Source organism: Homo sapiens, chromosome 6, assembly GCF_000001405.40.
Source record: "Homo sapiens chromosome 6, GRCh38.p14 Primary Assembly".
Taxonomy (NCBI): Eukaryota; Metazoa; Chordata; class Mammalia; order Primates; family Hominidae; genus Homo; species Homo sapiens.
The window spans coordinates 8436984-8460450 of record NC_000006.12 but is presented as its reverse complement, the minus strand read 5'-3'; the positions used below and the strand labels follow the sequence as shown (position 1 = coordinate 8460450).

Below are 23467 nucleotides of genomic sequence, written 5' to 3'. Positions count from 1 at the left end.
GATTTTAACACTATTTGACAGCACTGGACAGATCATTGAGGCAGAAAACTAACAAAGAAATTCTGGTCATAAACCTGACACTTGAACAACTGGACCTAATAGACATCTACAGAATACTCCACCCCCAAACCACAGAATATATATTCTTCTCATCTGCACACAGAACATATTCTAAGATTGACCACATGCTTGGTCATAAAGCAAGTCTTGACTTCCAAAAAAATTGAAATCGTACCAAGCACACTCTCGGATTAGTGCAATAAAAATAGAAATCAATACCAAGAAGATCTCTCAAAACTACACAAAAACATGAAAGTTAAACAAACTTCTCCTGAATAACTCTTGGATGAACAATGAAATCAAGGCAGAAATAAAAAACATTATTTAAAATTAATGAAAACCAAGACAGAACTTACCATTATCTTTGGGGTACAGCTAAAGCAGTGTTCAGAGGAAAATTTAGTGCTAAACACCTTCATCAAGAAGTAGAAAGAGGCTGGGCATGGTGGCTCAGGCCTGTAATCCCAGCACTTTGGGAGGCCGAGGCAGGTTGATCACTTGAGGTCAGGAGATCAAGACCAGCCTGGCCAACATAGTGAAACCCCATCTCTACTAGAAATACAAAAATTACCTGCGCATGGCGGCAGGTGCCTGTAATTGCAGCTACTTGGCAGGCTGAGGAAGGCAAATCACTTGAATCCGAGAGGCAGAGGTTGCAGTGAGCCAAGAGCATGCCACTCCACTCCAGCCAGGGCAAGAGAGGGAGACTGTCTCTCAAAAAAAAAAAGAAGAAGAAGAAGAAGTTAGAAAGATCTCAAATTAATGATCTAAAATCACATCTAAAGGAACTGGAAAAAAAAAAGGAAAAACCAATTCCAATACTAGTAGATAAAAAGAAATAACTAAAATCAGAATCAGAAAAGAACTACACAAAATTGAGATGCAAAAGTCCATACAAAAGATCAATGAAACTAAGTTTGTAATTCAAAAGAATAAACAAAATTTAAAGACTGTTAGCTAGATAAACTAAGAAAAAAACAGAGAACATCCAAATAAGTGCAATCAGAAATGACAAGACTGATCCCACAGAAATACAAAAGACCTTCAGAGACTATTATGAACATCTCTACTCACACAAATTAGAAATCTAGGGGAAATGGATAAATTCTTGAAAACATACAACCTTCAAAGATTGAACAAGGGAGAAAGTGAAAACATGAACAGAACAATAACAAACTCCAAAACTGAATCAGTAATAAAAACCTAACAGCCAACAAAAGCCCTAGAACAGATGGATTCACAGCCAAATTCTACAAGACATACACATAACTGGTACCAATCCTACTAAAACTATTCCAAAAAATCAAATAGGAGAGGCTCCTCCCTAACTCGTTCTATGAAGCCAGTATCATCCTCATGCCAAAATCTGTCAATTTTCATCTGAAAATCTAAAATTTCATCTGAAATTTCATCAAATTTCAATCTGTCTTTTCATCTGTCAGTGAAAAAAAAAAAAAAACTTGAAGCCAATATCCCTGACAAACATAGATGCGAAAAACCTCAACAAAATACTAGCAAACTGAATCTAGCAGCACATCAAAAAGCTAATTCACAACCAGGCGTGGTGGCTCACACCTGTAATCCCAGTACTTTGGGAGGCCAAGGTGGGCAGATCACTTGAGGTCAGGTGTTCAAGACAAGCTTGGCCAACATGATGAAACCCTGTCTCTACTAAAAATACAAAAAATTAGCTGGGGGTGGTGGTGTGTGCCTGTTAACCCAGCTACTCGGGAGGCTGAGGTGGGAGGATTGCTTGAGCCCAGGAGGCAGAGGTTGAGGTGAGCCAAGATTGCACCACTGCACTCCAGGATGGGCGACAGAGCAAGACCCTGTTTCCAAAAAAAAAAAATGTGACTTCACCAGGATCAAGTAGGCTTTATTTCTGGTTTGCAAGGTTGGTTCAACATACACAAATCAATAAATGTGATTCACCACATAAACAGAAAAGCAGAAACCCTATGATCATCTCAATAGATATATTAAAAGCTTTTGATAAAACTCAACATCCCTTCATTATAAAAACCCTCCACAGACTAGGCATTGAAGGAACATACCTCAAAATAATAAGAGCCAACTATGACAAACCCACAGCCAGCATCATACTGAATGGGAAAAAGCTGGAATCATTCCCCTTGAGAACTGGAACGAGACAAATATGCCCACTCTCTCTACTCCCATTCAACATAGTACTGGAAGTCCTAGTCAGAGCAATCAAGCAAGATAAAGAAATAAAAGGCATCCAAGTAGGAAAAGAAGTCGTCAAACTATCTCTGTTCACTGACAACATGATTCTATACTTGGAAAACTCTGAATACTCCATCAAAAGAGTCCTAGAACTGACAAACAACTTTAATAAAGTTTCAGGATACAAAATCAATGTAGAAAAATCAGTAGCATTTCTATACACCAATAATGTCCAGGCAAAGAGTCAAATCAAGAACACAATCCCACTTAACAATGGCCACTAAGAAAATGAAATACCTAGGAATACAGCTAACCAAGGAAGTGAAAGATCTCTACAAGGAGAACTACAAAATATTGCTGATAGAAATCAGAGACAACACAGATAAATGTAAAAACATTGCATGCTCATAGACTGGAAGAATCAATATTGTTAAAATAGCCATACTGCCCAAAGCAATTTACAGATTCAATGCTATTTCCATTAAACTACCAACGTCATTCTTCATAGAATTAGAAAAAACTATTCCAAAATGGAAACAAAAAGGAGGCTGAATAGCCAAAGCAATCCTAAGCAAAAAGAACAAAGCCAAAGGCATCACACTACCTGACTTCAAACTATACTATAAAGCTACAGTAACCAAACGGCATGGTACTTGTACAAAAACAGACCCACAGACCAATGGAACAGAATAGGGAACTCAGAAATAAAGCTGCACACCTATAACCATCTGATCTTCAACAAGGCCAACTGAAACAAGCAATACGGAAAGGAATCTGTATTTAATAAATGGTGCTGGAATAACTGGCTAGAAATATGCAGAAGAATGAAACTGGACCCATACATTTCACTGTATACAAAAATTAACTCAAATTTTATTAAAGATTTAAATATAAGACCTCAAACTATTAAAACCCTAGAAGGAAACCTAGGAAATACCCTTCTCGGCACAGGACTTAGCAAAGAACTTTTGACTAAGTCCCCAAAAGCGATTGCAAAAAAAAAAAAATTGATAAGTGGGACTTAATTGAACTAAAGAGCTTCTGTACAGCCAAAAGAAACTATCAACAGAGTAAAGAGACAACCTACAGAATGGGAGAAAACATTCACAAACTACATATCCAACAAAGGTCTAATAATAAGAATCTATAAGGAACTTAAACAAATCAACAAGCAAAAACCAAATAGCCCCATTTAAAAAAATGGGCAAAGGACGCAACAGACACTTCTCAAAAGAAACATATAAGCAACCACAAACAGATGAAAAAATGCTCATCATCACCAATCATCAGACAAGTACAAACTAAAACCACAATGAGATACCTACTCACACCAGTCAGAATTGTTATTATTAAAAAGTTAAAAAACAACACATGCTGGCATGGCTGTGGAGAAAAGGGAATGCTTACACACTGTTAGTGGGGATGTAGATTAGTTAAACCATTGTGGGAAGCAGCTTGGAGATTTCTCAAACAACTTAAAATAGAGCTACCATCCGACCCAGCAATCCCATTACTGAGCATAAACCCAAGGAAAATTAGATCATTATACCAAAAAGACATATGCACTTGTATGTTCATAGTCACACTCTCCACAATAGCAAAGACATGGAATCAACCCAGGCGCCCATCAATGGTGGGTTAGATAAAGAAAATGTGGTATATGATATACATATGATATACATCATGGAATTTCATGTAGACATAAGAAAGAACAAAATCATATCCTTTGCAGCAACATAGATGGAGCTGGAGGCCATAATCCTAAGCCAATTAATGCTGGAACAGAAAACCAAATACCATGTGTTGTCACTTGTACGTGGGAGCTAAATATTGAGCACATCATAAACATGGGAACAATGCAAACTGCAGATTACTAGAGTGGGGGAGGGGATGTGGATTGAAAAACTACCTCTTGGGTACTATGCTCACTACCTGGGTACAATATACCCAGGTAACAAAACTGCACATGTACCCCCTGTATCTAAAATAAAAGCTGAAAAGAAACTAGTCATCCCCAACAAAGGCTTTCTTGTCCTACTACTCACTATACATGCATTAAGATTGACATACACAGCTATGTGCTCTTAATGGGGAAAACTGTTTCTGCTTGGACTATTTCCTTCTGCATGAAATAGCGTTGTTTGGGTCTGAAATATTTTATCCACTTTATTTCTGTTCTACTTATTTGTTGGTATGTAACCATTCACCTCAGCCTACAGGTGTAAGTAGCTATTGACATGGGTGCTCACTCTGTATTGCTCCTCCTATAGGGAATTGCGTGACAAAGGAGAAGTTTTAGCCATTAATAGCCCCAAGAGATTTGGCAAGGCCTGATAAGGAGCACTGGTCTGGAGTAGGGCGTCTGAGGGTTGAGAACCCTAAATGGTTATCTAGTTCATTTCTATGATACAGGGATCCCTTGTACAATAATGTCTCAGAAAAGTGACTATTCTCATGTCTGCTCTGTACTTCACAAGACAACCCATTCCATTTTGGAAAATTACTATGCTTAAAGTCAGGGGAACAAGAAATTATATATTCTATACCTCAGTTTAGTTCTAGCTATGCCTTCCAAAGGCACATAAGTCTAATTCCTTTTTATCTAATAGACATTAAATTACTTGAGGACAATAATTGCATGCTCATTTCTTTCAATGATTCTTCATTACATTATAGTTTCTGGATTCTAGAATAACATAGTCATTCTGTTCTTAATAGAAATTTGGGTTTGGAAGCCTAAAGTTTAAACTTATACCATGCCTACAAACACTTGGCCTTTGCTTCCCTTCCCCACAATCAATTTGAAAGGAAAAGTTGATTATACTGAATATGTCATGACTAAATGCATGATGATTAAATAGACCAAAAAATATACAGATATAAATGTATGTGAATAAAATATAAATGTAAGAATAACAGCTACAAATACAAATATATATGAATAGACCACCAAAAAGTTGTATATTTTATACAGCCTAAGCCCCTGTTTTGGCTGAATCTAGTTTTTTCAACTATAAAATCTAAGAAATCTCTATTATACATCATTAGATTTAAAAAGGCAGATGCAGAAAATCATGTATTATGTTACTATTTTAAGTTTTTTAAAAGAAAATATATGTTTCTGTGTGGATGCAATTACTATGGATATAATATTGCTGGAAATATATTAAGATACTGGTAACAAAATTAGTTGCCTGAGAAGAGGGGAAGTTGGTGAATGAATAAGGCCAAGGGTGTGTAATCAACTTTACAGAAGCTTTTGCAACTTTTGAATTCTTAATTGTGTGGATATATTTCATAATCACAAGTAACATTAAAACTTAAATAAGACAATAAATAAAAATATACAGTAATTAAACAAAGAATCACACAAATGCCAGAATAAAACATGTCTGGTGCATTTTCTCTCACCAGTAGTATGATGCATGGCCTATTAATTAAGCACATGGGAAAATGAAATAATCCAAGTATTGAATTCAGTCCCCAAATTGCTGTCTTCCAAGGTTCACATCCAGACCAAGATTCATCCTTATATATACACAGACATGGAGGATGTAAAGTAATCCTCGTGTTCAAGTTTCAAAATTACAGTTCTATATTAAATATAATTATTTTTTAATGTTCATGCCTTTAAATATTTCATCACATATTGGATTGTGCATGTACATCTTGGTTGGAAGTTTCAAACAATTTAAAATGATGATATCATTGCTCATTTTAGCAATGTCAGTAACTAACATGATCAATGGTTTGATAAGATTGATAATCAGAAATATATTTTTAAAGGTATAAGAAAATTACCTTCAAATTGTAGCGTTTGTTTCATAAAGCCATGAACAAATACACTTTCTTCCATTGTTGAGATTCAGAATGTGACTGAATCATTTTTCAGTAAGTCAAAAACTAAGGGAATAACACACAGATGTGCATTGCAAGCACAGTCATGTTAGGAATTTGTAACCTAGCATAATCCAATGACAGGTTTAGAAGTAATTCTTTCAACTAAATATATGACAGACCAATTGTATCAAATAACTGCCCCTACTAAATATCAAGTTATAAGCAGAAATCATCAAGTCGTTAAAGATACTCTATTCTAGCTCTCATATACAAATCTGTTCATTTAGCATATATTCACTGACTGCCCTCTATATGGCAAGACAGTGAAAACAAACAGAAAACATGGTCACTGCCTTCAAAGAGTTCCTATCCCAGTAAAGGAGGGAGAGAGAAAAATGTACCAACACTGCAAAACACCAAAATTACTTCTCTAATAGAAGCAAACAGACGTGAGTACAAAAATTTTGTCGTGGCCCAAGAAAGGGAACTGTTAATCTACTTGGCAAAGGGGAATGGGGAGGGATCTTTAGGAAGATGCTACCTCTCACAGTAATAAAGCTTGACAGTGGCAGAGCCTTCATTCCAATTTAGATCTCTGGATTTCCAGGTAGTATTCATTTTGCTACACTGTTCCCTAACAAACTGATCAAAGATCACTGATACTATTAGCTACAGCACACACGCATGTGAGTGAGACTTAATTTAAGCAGTGTTTTAAGTAGTGTCTTGCTAACAATTACCCACTACACAGAATGAAGACCTTTTCAACAACTCAAACTTTATACCTAAAGCACTTAACACTCATACACATCCATACTGTGATATGCATATGTGTGTGTACATATAGTTTCACACAGAACTTAACAGAGATCAATAGCTAGTGATAAGTATTATTTCAAAGCTAGAGTCCAATTCTGTTTATTTACAATCACTTTGCTGCTGAAAGCTTATTAACTAACCAGCTGTTAGACTGCGCTGCCCCAAAGCCATTATCCCAGCAGGATACTATACTTGGATTGGAACCAAAGATGAATCGTTTCATTATCATCTTCTTTCTTATTAACAAAAAACATTTCAGAGGGATTACCTGGCTTAATTGGCTAATTCAATACATAACTAACTTGGTTACTTAGATTATCCAACTATACTACCCTCATTAACTGTATGCAAATAAAGCAATTAAAACCTCTGATGCTATGCGTGACAGGTAAGAAGTAAGTACTAGAGCACACCAAATGTCAATTCCCATCAGGTGGCAAAAGACTAAGTTTGGCACTACAGTGGATAACTCTTACTCTTCCACACAACTGAAAATACTGTAGTAATTTAAAGCTTCAAATCGGCTTTAAAGAAAGAATGGCACAGTATTCAGGGTCAGAGATAATAGCAATAATAATAGTTAAAGATCAGTGGACAGTGCTACCCAATCTAAAATAAGAAGATGCAGCTTGTGCCCAAGTCTTGGTATTCTCAAAGCTCCATCAAGCTCCTTTAACAGGGTGTGGTGGCTCCCACCTGTAATCCCAGCACTTTGGGAGGCTGAGGAGGGTGGATCATTTGAGGTCAAGAGTTTGAGAGCAGCCTGGCCAACATGGTGAAACCTCATCTCTACTAAAAATACAAAAATTAGCCAGGCATGGTGGCACATGCCTGTAGTCTCAGCCACTCAGGAGGCTGAGGCAGGAGAATCCCTTAAGCCCAGGAGGTGGAGGTTGCAGTGAGTCGACATCGTGCCACTGCATGCCAGCCTGGGCGACAGAGTGAGATCAGTCTCAAAAAAAAGAAAAAAAAAAAAGAATGGCCTTTAAGATAACATGAAAATTTTTGTTAAAGTGAAGCATCTATCCTCCCAGAATCAGGTATTCTTCACAGAGGTTATATTCAGCAGCATGCTCTTAGAAATAGAGCTTGTGTCTAACGTTTAAGTGGTGCCAGCCAGGCTCATTCCCCAGTCCCTTAGCTATTTATGCTGCCACACGTGTATCTAAAACTTCTCCTATTATGTCACAAGCCTGGAAAATACACTGTTATTATTCCATTATTTTTATCAACTTAAGACCACACAAGTTTTTTTAAAGGGTAAAAAATAACACCATCTTCTTTCTACATCATGACACGCTAAGATGGAAGAAACAAAAATGCTATTATTTTTCCTCAAGCTATGCTGCTCCTGACCGCCTTTTATTCCTCCCTGATGAATCCAATAGGCTATTGTTATAAGAAGACATCTAAAGTAATATTTCTTTTCCATATGAGTTATATAATCCTAAATGTCCAAACGAATGAAAGCTGGCCATTCTATTTCTAAAAGAAGTTAGATTACTGTTAAGACCTAAATCACATCAAAATAATCACACAGAGTACAAATAGAAAAACAGTATACGTGTGTGTGTGTGTGTGTATGTGCATACACACACACATATATATATATATACATACACACAAAAGAGCTTATTTTATGAAAGACTATTGTGATGAAAGCAAACTAAAGGCAACTGAACCATGGTCACAAATTATTTTGTTGTGATGAAAATTGATTCAAAGAACTTCAGAGGTGGGGAAAGGAGTTGGTAAAAGGATTATTGAGAAAAGAGACAAGACTGTTTAAACTCAATAGTCATATTAGCAATTTAAGAACTTGATTATACCTTTGAAATGAACAATAACTCAGTAACAACTCCAAAAGAAAGACAGTATATTTTTATGATACGGGATAATCATATTGGCAATTCAAAGATGTAATAAACATGACTCAAAGAAGAAACAATTCATAATAAACATAAGCTGAGTACAAATTTCTTATAAGACAAAAGTTTTTTTAAAAAACTAATTCAAAAAGCCATGAAAAACCTTCATCACATCAAACCTCATTCTCAGAAAATACAAAGAAAATTCTTGTATTTTCCTCTTTCTCTGTACAGAAATAACAAGAATCTTAGCACGCATAATAATACAATAAAGTAAACTAGGATTGCTAAGTCATTAGTAACATAAGTGACTCATGAAAAAGTGAACTAATATTCATCTAGAGTTACGCATTTATCATTATGGTTTTTTGGATTGCTTTTCTGGTCATTGATTATTGTCTTTCTGTTTAAGAACTTTAGCCTTAAAGCTTAAAGAAGTAATTATGTCTTTAAATATTACATTCAAATATCTTAAAAGATTAAAAGAAATAGCTGCAACATATACCTCTTTGGACTTCATTTAATTGTATTTATTCAACTATAGAAACTTTTCTTCTGGCGTACAGAGGACACAGAAATAATTATTTCCACCTATCTTTCTGTCATGAATTAGTCCAGTATTAGCTATAAACAGAAATTGAACAAATTCTTTACAAGTTCTTTGACTCTTTGTTTCTTTAAAATGCAAAAATACAATATATTTTGAAAGCAGTTTTTATATCGATTATATAAATATTATTTCATATATTTATTTATATGTTATGTATATTTAATGTAGGTATATGTTATGCTATTAATTTCTTTGCAAAAACAATAGAATGCATTTCACATGTTGATTTTAGATTTTTGCATACTTTCTAGTATTAAATGTAGCAAACTGCCTTTAACTGCAATTACAACTCACCAAAAATTAGTATGATTTCCACATATCAGACTAATATTATAATAAAATATTTTAATTTATTGATTACTAAGTCAATTTTTAAAAGATCTAAAATAAAAAATTTAACATATGTTATAGCCAAATGAAAGCTTTGAAAACAACTATAAATTTTACTTTATTCAATTATATAAATGAATTGAAACTTGCATTTCCATAATAGCATTTGAGATGAAATTTGTTGATAAAGATTTATTTTCTTTTAATACTTCTTCCTTTCAAATAGGTACAAGACTGATTTGTCTAACCCTGGGTTCTGCTAAGTAGCAATTGTTTTATTCCAAAGATGCAGAGTGGCTATCTAACCTCTGCTGCAATATTGTCTCCTAGGACACCAACATGAAGCTTCTAGAATTTATGATACATTGTCCTGGATCAACCACTATAACAAAAATTGAAAGTTATTTATATATCTGGAAGACCATATCTATTGAATTCCTCTGGAAATATCAATCACTTTTAGACAGGAATTTACATTTCACTTGTTTTAAAATAATGTACTTCCAGTTGGTAAATGGTCACAATCTGTGTCCAGAATATAGATGAACAACAACAAAACTCCAAAAGAGTAATTTTCATCTTTAGTGTGTCCCGAGAAGCAGATTTCTCATTGGAAACAATGCAAGCAAGGAGAGTGCAGCAACATCACAAAAGTATTGAAAGAAAAACATCCATCATCCTAGAAGTTAAAATCCAGTGAAAACAACTTTCAAAAACAAAGATGAACTAAAGACCTCAAAATATATGTGAAAATTAACTCAAAATGGATCACAGACCTAGATGTAGAACCTAAAACTGAAAACCTCTAAAGTAAAATAGGAAATATCTTTGTGACACTGAGGCAAAGATACATTATTAGGTTTCTGCAAAAGTAATTGCAGTTTTTCCCATGGAAACTAATGGCCAAAACCACAATTACTTTTGCCCCAACCTAATAGCTATGACACAAAAAGCACAATCCATCAAAAATAAATTAATTAATATTATACACAACAAAATTAAGAACTTCTCTTCAAAAGAAATCATGAAAAGAATGATAAAACAAGCATCAGCATGGGGTAAAATATTTGCAAGCTGCATTTCTCATAAAATGGCTTGGATCTAGAATATATAAAGAATTCTCAAAATGTGATAATAAGAAAAGCTTACTATGGGAGGTTACAAATATGTTAATTTGCATGACTGTAGTAATCATTTCACTATGTAAATGTATATGAAAACATTAGGTTTTACATCCTAACTATAGAAAATTTTTAAAAAGAAATAAAACAGTTGAAAAAATTTTAAAGGTTAAAAAAAATTTTTTTTAATGGGCAAAAAATGTGAATAAATGCCTCACCAAAGAAGATCTACAGAACTCAATAAAGCATATGAAAAGACGCTCAATAAGTCAATAAGCATATGAGAAGTATTTAATATTATTAGACATTATAGAATTGCAAATTAAAACCACAGTGTGATACTACTAAGCCTTTTAAAATGGCTAAAATGAAAAAGACTGGACCAGTCTTCTGGCTAGGATGGGAAGTGAACAGAATTCTCATCTACTGCTGTTGGGAATGTAAAATGGTATAAGCATTTTGGAAAACAGTTTAGCAGTTTCTTTTTCTTTTCTTTTTTTTTTTTTGAGACGAAGTCTCGCTCTTGTCCGGCAGGTTGGAGTGCAATGGCATGATCTCGGCTCACTGCAACCTCTGCTACCTGGGTTCAAGCGATTCTCCTGCCTCAGCCTCCCTAGTAGCTGGGATTACAGGCACCTGCCACCATGCCCGGCTAATTTTGGTATTTTTAGTACAGACGGGTTTTCACCACGTTGGCCAGGCTGGTCTCGAACTCCTGACCTCAGGTGATCCACCCACCTCGGCCTCCCAAAGTGGTGGGATTACAGGCGTGAGTCACCGTGCCTGGCCAGCAGTTTCTTAAAAAGTTAAATACACAGCTATGTGACAAAACTAGTCCACTTCTAGGTATTAATATTTACCCAAGAGAAATGGCAACATAGGTCCACACAAACACTTGTAACATGAATGCTCAACAGCATCCTGACAAGTAACAGCCAAAACCTGGAAATGGCCTAAATTTTCATTAACAGTGAAATGATAAATAATATTTCATGAAATGGAATTTTACTTCAGCAATAACAATAAATGCTTTATTGATGAATGCAAAAACGTGAATGACTCTTGAAATAATCTGAGTTTAAAATGTGATATCATATGGCAAAAGGGATTTTTCCAACATCATTAAGGTTACTAATCAGTTGATCTGACTTAATCAAAAGAGAGATTATCCTTTTAGACATAACTTAATCTCATGAGCCCTTTAGATTTGGGTCTAGCAGTCAGAGACAGAGAAAATCAGGGTTTTGAAACACAAGAAGGTTTTGACACACCTGACTTTGTACATGGAGTGAACCAGTTGGCTAAGAATCACAGGCAGCCTCCAGAAGCGGAGAGAGGCCCGTCAGCTGACAGCCAGCAAGGAAACAGGGACTTCAGTCCAATAAGTGCAAAGAATTGGATTTGGCTAACAACCTGAATGAGCTTGAAGAAAGACTTTCAGCTCTAGATAAGACGACAGTCCTAATCAACACCTTGATTCTGGTTTTATGGGACCCAGAGCAGAGAATCCAGTCAACCCATACCCAGACTTCTCATCTACAAAACTATGAGCTCATAAATAGGTGTTGTTTTAAGCTGCTAAGTTTGCAGTAACTTGTTTTGCACTAAAGGAAACTAATACACATGGTAAAACTATGGTAAAAGAAATATTGTAAAAATATCAATACCTACCCAGCAGCAATCTATAGAATGGAAGAAAGTGAAAAGTAGTGGATGCTGTAGGAGTCTCACTTGTCTTGGCACTCACCATGCCAGTACATGACCATAGTAGTGAGAAAAAGAAAAGCAGCTCCTGATAGCTGGGAGATTGACTGGTACTATCCAATAAGACACAGTGTCCTTCTGTTGATCATAACCAGTTTCACAGAACACCAATAGTGGACAAGTCTATTCCATGACAATGACGGATCAAAATGAACACAAGACCACTTGGTGATCATGTCTGAACTCAGACAAAAACAAGAACATTGTCTAAACTCCCAAAATGAACAAACGTCTCTCTATCTGGGCTAATATAAGTGAGAATTACTTCTTTACCAATTATAGCTGTAGCTTGCTCTTGTTCTTCTCTCCTTCAAGCTAAGAATTCTGGGCCGGGAGCAGTGGCTCAAGCCTGTAATCCCAGCACTTTGGGAGGATGAGGTGGGCAGATCATGATGTCAGGAGTTCGAGACCAGCCTGACCAACATGGTGCAACCCCCATCTCTATTAAAATGCAAAAATTAGCCGAGCATGGTGGCACGTGCCTGTAATCCCAGCTACTCAGGAGGCTGAGGCAGGAAAATCACTTGAACCTGGGAAGCAGAGGTTGTAGTGAGCCGAGATCGTGCCTCTGCACTCCAGCCTGGGCGACAGAGCGAGACTCCATCTCAAAAAAAAAAAAAAAAAAAAGAATTCTAAAGATATCCAGACATAGGATGATCTATGTTTTCTGGCAACAGAAAATCCCAGAGCAAATCTCCACCTCCTAGAACCTCTTCCTTGTTACCTGACATGAGACCAAATCCTGTAAATCCTTTCTAATACTTGCTTACTGAGATGCTCCACAGTTCCTCCACAGCATGCACTCTCACTCACTGTGATGAATCAATCAACAGAGAGTTCTTCAACCACAGGAGGGCTCTTGGTATCCTACTTACCCTCTGCCTGGGTGCTTTCTCCTAGATTTGCTTACTGGCATGGGGAAGGGTAGAAATAAACTGTTGGGGAGTTAACAGACTTACAAAAAGTCCTCATTCAACGGGAGGAGGTGGAGGATAAATCTCCAAGCTTCCTCACCCTTTAAGGGAGATAACTCAGAGATCTCCAATGGAACGGGGCCTCAAAATGTATGGATGGGCTTCAATCAACTTCTGCAGGCCAGGTCTTCATAAAGGCTGAACAGGCAGGGCTCCACAACAACTGTTTCAGCACTGACTGAGTGATGAAGTTAAATATTAAAAGCTGAGACAGCCAGTGCCCTTATACAAAGGCTGGAATGTAACAAAAGCCCATCAAGAATTTTGCCTAGGCCTCTCCTGGGCCTTAAAGCATGACGAGATAATGAGGGAATTCTTAACATGACCCGTTTAAGATTAAACAACTTTTACTGGGGGTCTGAAGAAATTCCCCAGGCCTCTGCAAACAAGTTTATTGGGTCTGAAGGAACTCCCCACACCTCCATGATTTGGCAGGGGAGAAGATAAGGGAATCATCCCAGCACCTGGACCCATTTAGATTAGGTAAGTGTACTGAGGCTCCAGAGGAAGGTCTTCTGAACTCAGATCTTAGTTACAGATTAGAAGAAGTTAATCACTTATCACTTTAGATGAATGTACACTTACACGTATACATATAGCTTAGAAGGTATATAAGCTCTGGAAAACTTTATAATTTTGAGTTTGGTGATATTTTTACAGGCCTTCTCCCTGTACCTGGTTGCAGGAATAAACTCCCGTCTTTCCCAGTTCATCTGCATCCCATTACTGGCCCACAGGAATAAGCAGCCCAGCCCTGGGTTTGGTCCCGGAACAAACTGACCTTAAAAAAAAGGAGATTATCACTAACAGCAGCCAGAGAGAAAGGTTGGGTTACACACAAAGGGAAGCCCATCAGACTAACAGCTGATCTCTCGGCAGAAACCCTACAAGCCAGAAGAGAGTGGGGTCCAATATTCAACATTCTTGAAGAAAAGAATTTTCAACCCAGAATTTCATATCTAGCCAAACTAAGCTTCATAAGTAAAGAAGAAATAAAATCCTTTACAGACAAGCAAATGCTGAGAGATTTTGTCACCACCAGGCCTGCCTTACAAGAGCTCCTGAAGGAAGCACTAAACATGGAAAGGAATAATTGGTACCAGCCACTGCAAAAACATGCCAGATTGTAAAGCCCATCGATGCTAGGAAGAAACTGCATCAACTAATGGGCAAAATAACCAGCTAACATCATAATGACAGGATCAAATTCACACATAACAATATTAACCTTAAATGTAAATGGGCTAAATGCCCCAATTAAAAGACATAGACTGGCATATTGGATTAAAAAGTCAAGACCCATCAGTGTGCTGTATTCAGGAGACCCATATCACATGCAGAGACACACATAGGCTCAAAATAAAGGGATGGAGGAAAATCTACCAAGTGAATGGAAAGCAAAAAAAAGCAGGAGTTGCAATCCTAGTCTCTGATAAAACAGACTTTAAACCAACAAAGATCAAAAGAGACAAAGAAGGGCATTACATAATGGTAAAGGGATCAATTCAACAAGAGCTAACTATCCTAAATATATATGCACCCAATACAGGAGCACCCAGATTCATAAAGCAAGTCCTGAGAGACCTAAAAAGAGACTTAGATTACCACACTATAATAATGGGAGATTTTAACACCCCACTGTCAACATTAGGCAGATCAACGAGACAGAAAGTTAACAAGGATATCCAGGAATTGAACTCAGCTCTGCACCAAGCAGACCTAATAGACATCTACAGAACTCTCCACCCCAAATCAACAGAATATAAATTCTTCTCAGCAACACATTGCACTTATTCCAAAATTGACCACATAGTTGGAAGTAAAGCACTCCTCAGCAAATGTAAAAGAAATGTAAACTAGTTCAACCATTGTGGAAGTCAGTGTGGCGATTCCTCAGGGATCTAGAACTAGAAATACCATTTAACCCAGCAATCCCATTACTGGGTATATACCCAAAGGATTATAAATTATGCTACTATAAAGACACATGCACACATATGTTTATTGCAGCACTATTCACAATAGCAAATACTTGAAACCAACCCAAATGTCCATCAATGATAGACTGGATTAAGAAAACGTGGCACATATATACCATGGAATACTATGCAGCCATAAAAAAGGATGAGTTCATGTCCTTTGTAGCAACATGGATGAAGCTGGAAACCATCATTCTGAACAAACCATCACAAGGACAGAAAACCAAACACCACATGTTCTCACTCATAGGTGGGAACTGAACAATGAGAACACTTGGACATAGGGCTAGGAACATCACACACTGGGGCCTGTCCTGGGGTGGGGGATTGGGGAGGGGGAGCATTAGGAGAAATACCTAATGTAAATGACGAGTTAATGGGTGCGGCAAACCAACAGGGCACATGTATACCTATGTAACAAACCTGCACGTTGTGCACATGTACCCTAGAACTTAAAGTATAATAAAAAAAAAAAAAAAAGGAGATTATCCTGGATTATCTGAGTGAGCCCAGTGTAATCACAAGGATCTTTAAAATGTATAAGAGGAGGCGGAAGAGTCAGTACACACTGAAGCCATGTGAGAAAGACTCAAATGGCTTTGCTGGCTTTGAAAATGGAAGGGGACAACAAGCCAAGGAATAGGGATAACCTCTAGAAGATGGAGAAAGAAAGAATATGAACTCTCCCCTAGAGCCCCTAGAAAGTGATATAGGAGTTAAGAAGATATCACTTAGGCAGATAGTAAAGGTATGGGAATCCTCAGTAAGGCTTTTCTTTTTAATGAAAAGCAGCCCCAAATCATTTCCTAGCAAAGAGCAGCCTGTAAAGTCAAGCCATAGACACAGAATAGATAAGCAAGCTGGGAGCGTCCCTGGGTGAATGACGGCAGGAACTAGGGACTAGTACCATGTTCAAGATGGCGGCTCCATCTACCCTTCTCTACCTTACGTGTACAGTAAGGAGCAGACAAGATGGCACTGGCCAAGGGGAGAGTTCATTTGCATAAGATTACGGTGGGGCAACCAGTCTTCCCCTTGTGCTATGTAAACATCATACCTGATTGAACCAATCTGTAAGCCCCACTAAATCAGACACCACCTCCTCAAACGGGACTATAAAATCTGGCACATTCACTGCCAGCTGGTCTTTTCTGCTCAGAAGACCCCTCTCTATAGAGAGAGCTGTTTTTCTTTCTCTTTTCTTCTGCCTATTAAGCCTCCACCCCTAAACTCTTCATGTGTGTCTGTGTCCTAAGTTTTCCTGGTGCAAGACTACGAACCCCAGGTATATACCCCAGACAACATAGCCGCTTCAAAAGGAATGCAGCACTGTTGACCATTTGATTACATCCCAGTGAGGCTCATTATGTTTGTATGTAATGTATGTATGTATGTATTTAGTAGAGATGTTACTCTACTCTACTCTCTATGCTACTCAGGCTGATCTCAAACTATTGTCCTCAAGCTATCCTCCCACCTCAGCCTCCCAAAGCTCTACGATTATAGGCATGAGCCACTGTACCCACCCAAAACCCACTTTGAAATTCTGTCCTATAGAACTGTAAAATAAAAAAACTGTGTGGTCTTCAAGCCACTAAGCTTGTGGTAATTTGTTATAGCAGCAATAGAAAGCTAATACAGTTACTTATATACACAAGACGGACCAAAGTAAACTAATACAATTAAACATCCCTAATCTGAAAATCTGAAATCTGAAATGCTCCAAAATCCAAAACTTTTGAGCACTGACATAATATCACAAGTGGGAAATTCCACACATAAGTACTTAACACAAACTTCGTTTCATGTACAAAGCTATTAAAAATATTGTTTAAAATTACCTTCAGGCTATGTGTATAAGGTATTTATAAGGCATAAATGAATTTTGTGTTTAGACTTGGGCCCCAGCCTCAAGATATCTTATTATGTATATGCAAATATTCCAAAATTTTTAAAAAATCTAAAATCTGTGAAACACTTCTGGTCCCATACATTTCACATAAGAGATACTCAACCTCTAGAAAGGACGGAGAAAAAGAAATAGTGATAACAAATAATTAGAGTTTTATTGAAAGGAAAAGAAAGGAGGAGGGAAAATACTGATTTGTGAAAGAAACTGAGTTCACACTTAGGATGACTACAGGGTTATATCACTGCATCCAATGTCGCTAACAAGCAGTTTGAAAAATGAGAATAAAGCATAGGTGAGCAGTTAATTACACAGATATAGAGGACAAGTCCGTAATCTTAAATTAAATTGATTTCCTGAAGAGGAGTTTATACAAAAGATCAGGAAAACAGAGACTGAAACATGAACATTTTGAGGACAGGACAAGGAACAGTGAGGTAGGAGAACCAGTCAGTGCAGCAGTACAGAAGTCAAGAAAGAACAAAGTTGCAAAATGCAGCTGGTTCTCAAAAGTTCTAATTGCAGCTGTAGAGAACAGGCCTAATAAATGTTTATTTAGGTTGAACAATTAGTGACATAAACCCTTCAAGACTTCACAGTAGAGGAGTGGAGGAAGTTAAATGCTTATCTTACGTAAAAACAAGCTTTAGCAGTTCCCACCCACTTGCTCCTACATCCCTGGGAGCCATCTTTATTTTTACTCCACACCCACCTGGCCACAGAATTTAGCCTTCTTTAAATTCATCTGAAATAATGCACCTATGCAGGGCATTAATGAACAATGCAGATTTACTGAAGCTTTTTAAGAATATGAAGTGGTGGAATTATAAATCACAGCCTCCATAAAACAACTTAAATACTCCAGTTAGATACAGAACCTATAGTCTCCCAAAAGCTCCCTTCTCAGCCATACCACACTGGTGATTCCCTTTATTCTCTCCCTCCTTCATTTGTTTGTTCTTTCTTTCTTTCCTTCTTTTTTCTTTTTTTTTTTTTTGAGACAGGTCTCACTCTGTCACCCAGGCTGGAGTGCAGTGGTGTGATCTGGGATCACTGCAACCTCCGCCTCCCAAGCTCAAGGGATCCTCCCACCTCAGCCTCCTGAGTAGCTGGGACTATGGGCATGCATCACCACACTCAGCTGATTTTATTTTTGTTTTGTTTGTTTGTTTGTTTTCTAGAGGCAGGGTTTTGCCATGTTACCCAGACTGGTCTTGAACTCCTGGAATCAAGAGATCTGCCTGCCTTGACCTTCCAAAGTACTGGGATTACAGGCAATGTGAGCCACTGCGCCCAGCCTGGATTTTCTCTAGCACTTTAAACTTCATCACCTTCCAAGTGGTGAACAAGAATTAAAGTGCTCTAAAATTCCATTGTCCTGAGTGGTAGATAGTAGTCATATGTGCTACTCTGAGCACTTGAAATGTGGCTGGTCCAAACCAAAATATGCTGGAAGTGTGAAATACACACTGGATTTCCAAGATTTTGTATAAAAAAACAGATGTTAAAGTATTTCATTAACAACTTTTTATATTGATTGCATGTTGAAATGATAATATTTTGGTTATATTGAGTTAAATAAATATATTATTAAAATTAATATCACCTTTTTTTTTTTTTTTTTTGAGACAGAGACTCACTCTGTTGCCCAGGCTGGACTGCAGTGGCATGATCTCAGCTCACTGGAACCTCTGCCTCGCTGGTTCAAGCCATTCTCCTGCCTCAGCCTCCTGAGCAGCTGGGATTACAGGTGCCCGCCACCACGCCCTGTTAATTTTTTTTTATTTTTAGTAGAGATGGGGTTTCACCATGTTGGCCAGGCTGGTCTTGAACTCCTGACCTCAAGTGATTCGCCTGCCTTGGCCTCCCAAAGTGCTGGGATTAGAGGCATGAGCCACCACACCCGGCCTCATTTCACCTTTTTAATGTAACTAGCAGAAAATTTAAAGTAGCTTCCATGGCTTATATTATATTCCTATTGGACAGCACTGTTCTGGAAATAAAAAGAACTTCATGTTAATAAGACTAACCCTCCATGGAAGGCAGTTTAAGAATAATCTTCTAAGAGGCTAATCGAATTACTTCTTACAAAAAGAAAACAAAACACAGAAACTTTGACCAAAAAGGGATTCAAAAGCCAGGTGTTAAACGAGCAAAATATTTCTCCATCTCATTACACATGCTACCTCTTTATGAAGAATTTTGCCCCATGCCAATTATCAGTACTGGGAAAGAAGAGGAGTCATGGCTGGTGTCCAGGTGGCCCAGTTCTGTGAACCTCTATCCATTTAGGAGACAGCAGAGAAAAACTGATAGCCCTGGAAGTCAAGCAACCTACAGGGGAACTGAATCTATAACCACAGCCTCATTAGCATAGCCTATAGCTCCCATTGCATCCTGTAGTTAATACCCTTATCAACACAAATCACACTATAATTACTTGTGTAATTAATTATCTCCACCACACAAGGCTGTGAGCTTTGTGAGGGCAGGGATCCATGTCTGTCTTGTCATCCACATATCCACAATACCCAGTAGCATGCAGAGTAAGTGCTCAATAAGTATTTATTAAATGGATATTTAATGAAAATCAAATTAACTAGTTTTTCTGCTCAGTGCATCTGGAACCATATATCTATCAATGAACTTCCTAGTTTGGAAATGCTATATAACCTATTCCTTATGGAAGAGCTAGAAAAGTGACAACTGATGACTATATATAAATGGATTATTCTAATGATAGTAGGCTATATTAATAAGAATATTAATAGCTAACTTTTACTAAGTGTTTGTCAGGTAATAGGTGTTGTGCTAACCATTTAACCATCTTTAAACATCTTTCACTTACTCATCACTACAATTTACCACATAGGTACTACTGTCATTCCCATTTCACAGATGGGGAGATTGAGACTTAGAGAATTTAAGCAATTTGCACAAAGACACTCAAAGAGCAAGGGGTGGTGCAAGGATTTAAATTTAATCTGACACTAGAACCTGAGACTTAACTATGCAAGATGATTCTTCACAGACACATGACTAAGTAACACCAATTGACACGAACTGACATTGTTGATCACTCCTTCCTCCTTTAAACATTGTCTTCACCTGGCTTTTAGAAGACTGTACATTCCTGGACCCATCCTATGTCAACAGCTGCTTCTTCTAAGTCTCCACTGCTGGTTTCTCTTTCTCGCTCCCCCAAGTCACATGACTTGATTATCTAGGACATCCTAAAATACATAAAAACACCTCCCAAAAATTGCTCCTAGGAAATGGAAGGCATTTATCCATAGGTGCCCATTCCCCATTGGTGGATCATTGCCTGGGGGTGTTAATGCCACCAAACTTCCCAAGGGCCAGGTGTGTGTGTGTGTGTGTGTGTGTGTGTGTGTGTGTGTGTGTGTCAGGAGTGACGGCATCTCAACCCTATCTGAGCACTGTTCCTGAAAAGGATACTTGCTGATGTTCACAAAACAATGTCAGTGTTCTATCAGGCCAATTTCCTCCAGTTGATACAATATATGGTAGGACCAGTGGAATTCCATGGTCGTGTGTCATTGTCACACCTCTTTTACCATAAAGTGTGTCCTTTAGTTGGAGGCAATACATCAGAAAATCATGTGTTTGGGCTGGGTGTGGTGGCTCACGCTTGTAATTGCACCACTTTAGGAGGCTGAGGTGGGCAGATCACTTGAGGTCAGGAGTTCACAACCAGCCTGGCCAACATGGTGAAACCGTGTCTCTACCAAAAATACAAAAAAATTAGCCAGGTGTAGTGGCAGGCACCTGTAATCCCAGCTACTGGGGAGGCTGAGGCAGGAGAATGGCTTGAACCTGGGAGGCAGAGGTTGTGCCACTGCATTCCAGCCTGGGCAACAGAGTGAGACTCTGTGTCAAAGAAGGAAGAAAGGAAGGAAGGAAGGGAGGGAGGGAGGGAGGGAAAGAGAGAAAGAAAGAGGAAGGAAGGAAGGGAGGGAGGGAGGGAGGAGATGGAGGGAAGGAAGGGAAAGAAAGAAAAAAGAAAGGAAGGAAGAAAAAAGAAAAGAAAGAAGGAAAAGAGAGAGAGAAAGGAAAGAGAGAAAGAAAGAAAGAAAAAGGAAGGAAGAGAAAGAAAGAAAAAGAAAAAGGAAGGAAGGAAGAGAAAGAGAAAGAAAGAAAAAGAAAAAGGAAGGAAGGAAGAAAGAAAAAGAAAGAAAAAAAGAAGGAAAGAAAGAAAGAAAGAAAGAAAGAAAGAAAGAAAGAAAGAAAGAAAGAAAAAAGAAAGAAAGAAAGGAAGGAAGGAAGGAAGGAAGGAAGTCAATCAATCATGTGTTTGTAACTCTGTTATATAATGGTACTGGCAGAGGCACCATGAACAAGACCAGTCATATCAAGGGAAGTGTCAGTTCCGTAAGTACAAACCACGGCTCTCTCCAGGAAGGAAGGACTTTTGTGTAATTGCTCTCCTTATGGAATTTACCATCAATCTTTGCTGCTGATGGGCTGGACATCCAAAGAGGCAGTAGTCATATCGGCTTTAGTAAGAAAGAGCCTTAATTGTTGGGCCATGCACATGTCCTCCCCTTAATATCACTAAGAAAGTCCTTGTTGTCATCTGACTGCAAAGTAACCCACTTCCAGAGTTCTGAGGAGCTGCATTCTAGACTTTCTTCTTACATCAAATTTCTTAGCTTGGTTTCCCTCAAAACCTGAGACAACTACTTATGTGGGGACAGGTAATTTGGGATGTGATCCTAGTGAGAAACAATGAGAGAATGGAAGGGAGAATATAGACATAATACAAGAATGTGTTATTGAAGTTGCTGTTGTGAGAAACCAGAACCCAATTTCACTGGGACTTTTTGAAAAACACACAGAATGGCCTACAAAACTATCTTGCTCAAGTGTAAGAAGCAAGAGCATTTATCCATCAGTGACTGTCACCCCTTGGTTGAAGGGCCCCAGATGTGTTGACTTACCAGCACTTCAAAGCTGTGCAGGACAGGAGCTGAGAGAGCTACTGCTGGAATGTGTGAAGTCCGAAGAACCTCAGGGAAGAAAGCAAAGAGGCCTGGTAAATGTGGGAGAGGAGAAGCTGTCAGGGAGAAGAATGTGTAAGATTGCATGAAACTGCCCCCCACAACCAAGTCAGAAATGAGAGGTGATGCTCAGAAGATGTGAATCAAGACACCAAAGGTTTCTGATACTACAGAATTATTAATTTCTTAAAAATTTAAAACCAATTCATAGGACCAGGCGCAGTGGCTCACGCTTATAATCCTAGCACTTTGGGAGGCTGAGGTGGGTGGATCACTTGGGGTCAGGAGTTCGAGACCAGCCTGGTCAATAAGGTGAAACCCCATCTCTACTAAAAATACAAAAATTAGCCGGGCATGGTGACAGGCGCCTATAATCCCAGCTACTCGGGAGGCTGAGACAGGAGAATGGCTTGAACCCAGGAGGCAGAGGTTGCAGTGAGCTGAGATGTGCCACTGCACTCCAGCCTGAGCGACAGAGTGAGCCTCTGCCTCAATCAGTCAATCAGTCAATAAAAAACAATTCATAGCTGCAAGTCTTTAATTTTGTTTACCACGTGGTTATCACAGGAGTAAATGGGAAGTATTGTAAGAGAGTCGATATTTATTAAACACCTACTCTATAATAAGTACTACTCCAGATAGTCTCTCCTACATTTCACATTTGACATGTAAAAATATTTCACTGACATGGTAGTCAGAGAAGAGCCAGGTGACATTTGAGCAGTGACTGGAAAAAAATGAGGAAGCAAGCTCTGTGGACATCTGAGAGGGCAGTGTTCCATGCAGAAGGAACAACAGCTACAAAGCACTGATGCTTGCTGTGCTTGGGGGCAATTAGAAAAGCTCTGAAGTGTAGCTTGGATGTGATCCATCAAGAATAAGTTCAGTCTTAAAAGTCAGGGTAAGAATTTTGAACTTTAATCTGAGTAAAATGGTAAACCGCTAAAAGGTTCTGCACAGAGGAGTGGCATATTCAGGTTCTAATGGG

At 38.1% G+C, this 23467-nt stretch overlaps 1 long non-coding RNA gene across 2 annotated transcripts in view, besides 3 other annotated features; it reads right to left on the bottom strand.

Annotated features, from left to right (window-relative positions):
• LOC100506207 (uncharacterized) overlaps positions 1 to 23467 on the bottom strand; it is a 349823-nt gene that overhangs the window by 324995 nt on the left and 1361 nt on the right. Inside the window, exon 2 of one of the 2 annotated variants that reach the window (NR_038980.1) lies at positions 22420 to 22511. This is a non-coding gene — a long non-coding RNA (uncharacterized LOC100506207). The remainder of the gene's footprint in view (positions 1 to 22419; positions 22512 to 23467) is intronic. The other variant, NR_038979.1, reaches the window with a different exon arrangement.
• Positions 3032 to 3201: an enhancer, noted in NCBI's record as "experimental_96137 CRE fragment used in MPRA reporter constructs". NCBI's record gives its function as "activates a minimal promoter by MPRAs in K562 erythroleukemia cells, with activity observed for the non-introgressed 6:8457568 variant allele {active_cell/tissue: K562}" and the evidence as "EXISTENCE:reporter gene assay evidence [ECO:0000049][PMID:34662402]".
• Positions 4210 to 4379: an enhancer, noted in NCBI's record as "experimental_96126 CRE fragment used in MPRA reporter constructs". NCBI's record gives its function as "activates a minimal promoter by MPRAs in K562 erythroleukemia cells, with activity observed for the non-introgressed 6:8456390 variant allele {active_cell/tissue: K562}" and the evidence as "EXISTENCE:reporter gene assay evidence [ECO:0000049][PMID:34662402]".
• Positions 4520 to 4689: an enhancer, noted in NCBI's record as "experimental_96121 CRE fragment used in MPRA reporter constructs". NCBI's record gives its function as "activates a minimal promoter by MPRAs in K562 erythroleukemia cells, with activity observed for the introgressed 6:8456080 variant allele {active_cell/tissue: K562}" and the evidence as "EXISTENCE:reporter gene assay evidence [ECO:0000049][PMID:34662402]".